This window comes from Homo sapiens, chromosome X, assembly GCF_000001405.40.
Source record: "Homo sapiens chromosome X, GRCh38.p14 Primary Assembly".
Classification (NCBI taxonomy): Eukaryota; Metazoa; Chordata; class Mammalia; order Primates; family Hominidae; genus Homo; species Homo sapiens.
This window is the reverse complement of record NC_000023.11, coordinates 144,752,874-144,760,877: the sequence shown is the minus strand read 5'-3', so window position 1 is coordinate 144,760,877 and position 8,004 is coordinate 144,752,874. Positions and strand designations below refer to the sequence as shown.

The 8,004-nt window shown below is 41.9% G+C and overlaps 1 annotated feature.

Moving 5' to 3' along the window:
- Positions 6,942-7,518: an enhancer, noted in NCBI's record as "NANOG hESC enhancer chrX:143834881-143835457 (GRCh37/hg19 assembly coordinates)". NCBI's record gives its function as "activates a minimal SCP1, AML or CMV promoter by ChIP-STARR-seq in naive and primed H9 embryonic stem cells {active_cell/tissue: H9 hESC(naive and primed)}" and the evidence as "EXISTENCE:reporter gene assay evidence [ECO:0000049][PMID:30033119]".

Sequence of the window (8,004 nt, the reverse complement as noted above, 5' to 3'; positions counted from 1 at the left end):
TAGCTAAACATTTGTCAATTTTGCTTACCTTTTCAAAACATCAACTTTTTGTTTCATTGATCTTTGTATTTTTTTCATTTCAAGTTTCTTTGTTTCTGCTCTGATATTTATTATTTATTTTCTTCTACTAATTTTGGGTTTGGTTTACTCTTGCCTTTGTAGTTCTTAAGGATGCCTTGTTAGATTGTTCATTTGATTTTTGTTAGGTTTTTTGGTGTAGGCATTTATACCTATAAATTTCCCTCTGAGTACTGTTTTTGCTGTATCCCATAGGTTTTGGTATGTTGTGCTTCCATTTAATTTGCTTCCAGAAAATGTTCAGTTTTTTTCTTAATTTCTTCATTGACCCGCCAGTCATTCAGGAGCTTTGGCAAGTCTGCTGCCAGACATACTGAAAATTCACTGTGTGTTATTTTTTTTTCTATTGCTGCTTTTAGGATCTTTTAAAAATCCTTGATATTTGGAAGTTTGATTATTAAGTGCCCTGAAGTAGTCTTCTTTAGGTTAAATCTGCTTAGTGTTCTGTAACCTTCTTGTACTTGAATACTGATATGTTTCTCTAGGTTTGGGAAGTTTTCTGTTATTATCTCTTTGAATTAACTTTTGACCTCTATCTCTTTGAATAAATTTTCTACCCCTACCTCCTCTTTAAGGCCAATAACTCTTAATTTGCCATTTTGAGGCTACTTCATAGATTCCGTAGGCATGCTTCATTTTTTTCTGTTTTTTCCTCTGACTGTCCGTTTTCAAATAGCTGGCCTTCAAGCTCACTAACTCTTTGTTTTGCTCGATCAGTTCTGTTATTAAAGGATTCTAATACATTCTTCAGTATGCCAATTACATTTTTCCACTGCTGTATTTCTGCTCAATGCTTTTTAATTATTTCAATCTCCGTTAAAATTATCTGATAGAAATCTGAATTCTGTCTCTGAGTTATCTTGAATTTCTCTGAGTTTCCTCAACATAGGTATTTTCAATTCTCTTTCTGAAAGTTTACATATACCTGTTTCTCTAAGATTGGTCTCTGGTGCCTTATATAGCTTATTTGCTGTGGTCGTGTTTTCCTAGATGATGCTGATGCTCATAGATATTCTTTGGTGTCTGGGTATTACAGAGTTAGATACTTATTTTCGTCTTTACTTTCTGGGCTTGCTTGTACTTGTCCATCTTGGAAAGGCTTTCCAGATATTTAAAAGGAATTGGGTGTTGTGATCTAACCTGTATCTGCATTACAGGGCACCTGAAGCCCAGTAACACTGTGCTTCTTGCAGACTCATAGAGGCACCAATTTGATAGTCTTGCATGAGATCTGGGAGCATTCTCTGGATTATTAGGTAGAGACCCTTATTTTCTTCCTGTACTTCCTCACATGCAAATGGAGTTTTTCTCTCTGTTCTGAGCCTCCCAATGCTGGTGGTGGATTGACACAAGCACACCTGCAGTCACCACAACTAGGATGGTGCTGGGACAGAACTGAGAACATCATAGCACTGGGTGTTTCCCAAGGCCTATTTTAATCTCTCCTTGGCTACTGCCTATGTTTGCTCAATAACCTGGGACTCTACAATCAGCAAATGACAAAGATAGCCAGGCCTGTTTCCTTCTCTTAATGGTGGCAAGTTTTCCCTGGTCCCACATGTGTCTAGAGTTTCCATCAAGAAATCTGAGACTAGAATCAAAAGCCTTAGAAGACTACCTGGCATTCTATTGTACTCCAGCTGTGCTGGCACTCAAAGCACAAGACACAGTCCCTCCCACTCTTCCATTCCCTTTCCAAAAGCAGAGGAGCCTCACCCCAGAGCTATTGCCACCACAGCCAGTAGGAAGCTCTTCCAGACTACCACTGATGTTCCTTTAAGGTCTAAGGGCTCCTCAGTCAACTGGCAGTGAATTCTGCCTGGCCTGGGACTCACCATTTATGGCAATCGGCTCCACTCTGGCTTAGGGGAGGCCCAGAGATGTTACCAAAGACTCAATTACTAAAATCAGGCACCACAAGAGCCTACTTGGTGCTCTATTCCCCTGTGGCCATGCTGGTACCTAAGGTGCAAAACAAAGTCCCCTTTACTTTTTCCTCTGCTTTGCTCAAGCAGAAGGAATTTTGTTTCATGGCCACCAGTATTGTGCTGAGTCTCAGCTGAAGCCAGAAAGTCCAAGAGCCCTCACCCAAGGCCCTCAACATAGTGTCTGGTTATCACTGAGTTATTCAGGGCCCAAGCTTCCTCGGTTAGCAGGTGATGAATACTGCAAGGACTAGGTCCTTTTCTTCAATGCAGTAGGTTCCCTTCTGGCCCAAGGTTCCCTTGCAGGTCCAGAAATGCCATGCAAGAGTTAAGTCCTGGAATCAGGGACCCTAAAAGCCCCCTTGATGCTCTGTCCTTCTGTGACTATTCTGCTACCTGAAGCCAACAAGTCTCAGAGGCTCACTCAAGGCCCCAGATGAAGTACCTTGGTATCACTGCTAGTTATTCAGGGCCTAAGGGCTCTTCAAATAGCAGGTGATGAATCCTGCCAGGATTGGGTCCTTGCCTCCAAGGCAGTGGTTTTCCTTATAGCTTTAGGTGTGTCTAGAAAAGTTGTGTGGGAGAAGGGGTCAGGTATGGGGGCCTCACTACTCTGACTGGTGCCCTATCCTGCTGTGGCTGAGCTGGTATCCAAGATGCAAGATGAAGTCCTCTCCACTCTTTCCTCTCCTGTTCTCAAGAAGAATGAATCGTCCTCTTTTGAAGCTGTGAGCTGTGCAGCCTGGGATTAGGAGACTGGTGATGCTAGCACTCCCTTAGCCACCACAGCTGCATCTTCAATTGAGGTACCCATGTCCTCTTATTAGAACTGACCAGGCAGTTGGTGTAACTGGCAGAAAGTGAGGAAAAGTAGGGTGGAGTGAGGGCCTACCCAAGAACTGCATGGGCCAAAGGGATCTTCCTCACCCAGCCAAGGGAGAGGGTAAGGAATTGTGCTACCCCGCCCTGAAACCATGATTTTCCCACAAACCTTTGCAACCCATGGATCAGGAGGTCCCCTCATGAGCCCATGCCACCTGGGCCTTGGGTCCAAAGCAAAGAGCTATGCAGACCAATGGTGGCTACTTGGGGTGGGCAGCCACTTGGGCAGGCACTGAGACACAGGAGTTTTTGTGTACTCTGTCTCTGAGAACTATAGTGAGGCAGGAGATCCATCCACTCTCACGGGAAGGGGGCTGAAGCCAGGGAGCCAAGTGGTTTCACTCAGCAGGTCCCATTTCCATGGAACTCCATAAGCTAAAACCCACTGGCTTGGAATCTCTGCCAGCCAGCACAGCAGGCTGGAGATTGCCTAAGAAGATTGAGTTCTGAGGGGGAAGAGACAGCCACCATCACTGTGGCTCCATTGTGCCATTTTCTCCTGCCACCGGTGCCAGCAAGACTGCGTGGCTTGGACTTGGAGTGGTTTCCCCACAGTGCAGCACAGCAGCTGTGACAGTTCTTGGCCAGACTGTTTCTGTAAGCGGGACCCTGACTGATTCCTTCTCACCGGGTGGGGCCTCCCTGCAGGATTTTCAGCATCCCCAGCCAGAGGTTTATAGACAGATCTCTGTTGTCTCTGAGAGGAGCCCCAAGGGGGAGAAGTGGCTGTAGTATTGTGGATAAGTGGTCTTAGCTTTTTTTTTACCTACCAGCTCTGTAGCGTCAGGGCAGCCCAGACAAGGGGTATTCCCCCCAGCACAACACCCCCACTCCACCAATGGGAAGCCAGACTACTTATTTAAGCAGGTCTCTGAACCTGTTCCTCCTGACTGGATGAGACATCCCAAGAGGGGCCTCCAGACACCTCATACAGGAGATTTCCAGCCAGCATCATGTTGGTGCCCCTCTGCGTCAGAGCTCCCAGAGGAAGGAACAGGCTGCCAACTTTGCTGTTCAGCAGCCGCCACTGGTGATACCTCCAGGTGTGGGAGGGATCCAGGCAAATAGTGGCTGGAATAGACCCCTAGCAAACAGCAGCATTTCTACAGAAGAGGGGCCTGACTGCTAAAAGGAAAACAAACCAAAAGCGACAACATCAATTAATAAAGACCCCACAAAAAACCCTATCCAAAAGTCAGCAGCCTCAAAGATCTAAGGTAGATGAACCCATAAAGATGAGAAAGAGTCAACACAAAATGCTCAAAACTCAGAAAGCTGGAGTGCCCCTTCTCCTCCAAATTATTGCAATACCTCTCCAGCAAGGGCTCAGAACTTGGCTGAGGCTGAGATGGATTAATTGACAGAAGTAGACTTCAGAAGATGGGTAATAACAAACTTCACTGAGCTAAAAGAGTATGTTCTAACCCATTGCAAAGAAGCTCAGAACCATGATAAAACATTATAGGAGTGATAACCAGAACAACCAGTTTAGAGAGAAACATAAATGACCTGATGGAGGTGAAAAACACAACATGAGAACTTCACAATGCAAACACAAGTATCGATTGCTGAATAAACCAAGGAGAAGAAAGGATATCAGAGCTTGGAGACTATGTTGCTGAAATAATACAGGCAGAGAAGATTAGAGAAAAAAGAAAGAAAAGGAACAAACAAAACCTCACATAACTATGAGATTATATAAAAAGACAACCTATGACTGATTTGGTGTACCTGAAAGAGGCAGGGAGAACCGAACCAAGTTGGAAAACATATCATCCAGGAGAACTTCCCCAACCTAGCAAGACAGGACAGCTTTCAAATTCAGGAAATCCAGAGAACCCCAGTAAGATACTTTATGAGAAGATCAACCCCAATTCATAATCACCAGATTCTCCAAGGATGAAATGAAGGAAAAAATGTGAAGGGCAACCAGAAAGAAAGGCCAGGTTACCTACAAAGGGAAGCCAATTAGACTAATAGCAGACCTTTCAGCAGAAACCCTATAATCCAGAAGAGATTAGGGGCCAATAATCAACATTCTTAAAAGAATTTTTGGCTGGGCACGGTGGCTCACGCTTGTAATCTCAGCACTTTGGGAGGCCGAGGAGGGCGAATTATGAAGTCAGGAGATCAAGACCATCCTGGCTAACTCAGTGAAACCCCGTCTCTATTAAAAATACAAAAAATTAGCCAGGCGTGGTGGTGGGCACCTGTAGCCCAAGATACTCCAGAGGCTGAGGCAGGAGAATGGCGTGAACCCAGGAGGTGCAGCTTGCAGTGAGCCAAGATTGTGCCACTGCACTCCAGCCTGGGTAATGGAGTGACACTCCGTCTCAAAAAAAAAAAAAAAAAGAAAAAAAAAAAAAAAAAAAAGAATTTTTAACCTGGAGTTTCATATCCAGTCTAACTAATCTTTATAAGTGAAGGAGAAATAAGATCTTTTTCAGACAAGCAAATGCTGAAGGACTTCATCATCACCAGGCCTGCCTTGCAAGAGCTCCTGAAGGAAGCACTAAGTATGGAAAAATAAAAATTATTACCATCCGCTACACAAACACTCTGAAGTACACAGACCAATGACACTATGAAGCAACTACATAAACAAGTCTGCAAAATAATCAGCTAGCATCATGATTACAGGATTAAATTCACATATAACAATACTAAAATGTAAATGGGCTAAATGGCAAAATTAAAAGACAAAGAACAGAAAGCTAAAGAGTGAAGATCCATCAGTATGCTGTCTTCAAGAGACCCATCTGAAACACAAAGACAGATATAGACTTAAAATAAAGGGATGGAGGAAAATTTACCAAGCAAATGGTAAACAGAAGAAAACAGAGGTTGCAATCCTAGTTTCTGACAAAACAGACTTTAAACTAACAAAGATCAAAGGAGACAAAGAAGGACACTGCATAATGGTAAAGGTGTCAATTCAACAAGAGCTGACTATCCTAAATATATATACACTCAATACAGGAGCACCCAGATTCATAAAACAGGTTTTTAGAGACCTACAAAGAGATGTATACTTCCTCACAATAGTAGTGGGAGACTTTAACACCCCATGGTCACTAGTCACTATTAGACAGATAATTGATTCAGAAAATTGATAAAGATATTCAGGACTTTAACTCAGTTCTGGATCAAGTGGACCTGATATCTACAAAACTCTTGATGCCCAAAACAACAAAATATACATTCTTCTCAGCACCACATGACACTTACTCTAAAATTGATTACATAATTGGAAGTAAATCACTCCTCAGCAAATGCAAAAAAAAAAAAAACACAAAAAGCTGAAATAATAACAACTTCTCAGGCCACAGCACAATCAAATTAGAACTCAAGATTAAAAAACTCACTCAAAGTCACACAATTACATGAAAACTGAAAACCTGCTCCTGAATGACTCCTGGGTAAATAATGAAATTAAGGCAGGAATCAAGACATTCTTTGAAACTAGTGAGAACAAAGAGACAATGTACCAGAATGTCCAGGATGCAGCAAAAGCAATGTTAAGAGGAAATTTTATATAACTAAATGCCAACATTAAAAAGCTAGAATGATCTCAAATCAACATCCTAACATCACAACTAAAAGATTTAGAGAACCAAGAGCAAACAAACCCCAAAGCTAGAATAAGATAATAATTAACCAAGCTCAGAGTGGAACTAAAAGAAATAGAGACAGGAGAAACCCTTTTAAAAAATCAGCGAATTAAGCAGCTAATTTTTTGAAAAAAATAAAACAGACTGCTAGTAGACTAATAAAAAAGAGATGAGAATTAAATAGACACAATAAAAAATGATAAAGGGGATTATTACTGACCCCACAGAAATACAAACAACTATCAGAGAATACTATAAACACCTCTATGCAAATAAACTAGAAAATCTAGAAGAAATTGATAAACTCCTGGACACATACACCCTCTCAAGACTGAACCAGGAAGAAGTTGAATCCCTGAATAGACCAATAACAAGATTGAGGCAGTAATAAATAGCCTATCAACTAAATAAAGCCCGGGACCAGGTGTATTTACAGCTTAATTCTACCAGAGGTACAAAGAAGAGCTGATACCCTTACTTCTGAAACTATTCCATGTGGGAGTTCTGTCAGGCTGGTGGGAAAAATTTGAAAGATAGTTATAAGAAATAGGCACAAACCTTGAAAGGCCGGGGGGTTTGCATAAACTCCAGTAATAGATCTGGCTGAAGGCAGCCTAATCCTTACCTTGAGTAAATAGCTTAAAATAGGTACAAAGGAATGTAAGGGAGTTTATCTAAATAGCTTGTTTACTCATGTGGTCCTAAGACAAACCTTTGATTACCTGCGGGTGCATAATTGCTCTCTATTTGTGAGATCTGCAATGTCAATTACCCTCTAATGGTGTTTACTCAAGACCTTTGTCATTTAATCTATACTGAATAAATGTGAGCTTCACTGGCTACTTGGGGCCGTGGCTGTGACTCTTTACAGCACCCTCCTTGGTGTCTGTGAGTGGCCCCGACCCTCAGCCAGACTGACAGGCAAAATATCTGTCTTGGTGTATGTTATTCATCCATCATTGGGTCAGGGTCTGCGGGACACACCCCCACAATTCCAAACAATTGAAAAGGAAGGAGTCCTCCCTAACTCATTTTATGTCATTATCTTAATACCAAAACCAGTCAGAGATACCACAACAGCAAACAACAACAACAACAAAAACTTCAGGCCAATATCCCTGATGAACATATATGCAAGAATTCTCAATAAAATACTGGCAAACCAAATCCAGCCGCACATTAAAAAGCTTATCCACCACAGTCAAGTTGGCTTCATCCCTGTGATGCAAGGCTAGTTCAACATATGCAAATCAATAAATGTAAAATGTCACATAAACAGAACTAAAGACAAAAACCACATTATTTTATCAATAGACCCAGAAAAGGACTTTGATAAAATTCAACATCTCTTCATGTTAAAAACTCTGAATAAACTAGGTATTGAAAGAACTTACCTCAAAATAATAAGACCCGTTTATGACAAACCCACAGCCAACATCACACTGAATGGGCAAAAGCTGAAAGCATTCACCTTGAAAACTGACACAAGACAAGGATGTCCTCTCTCT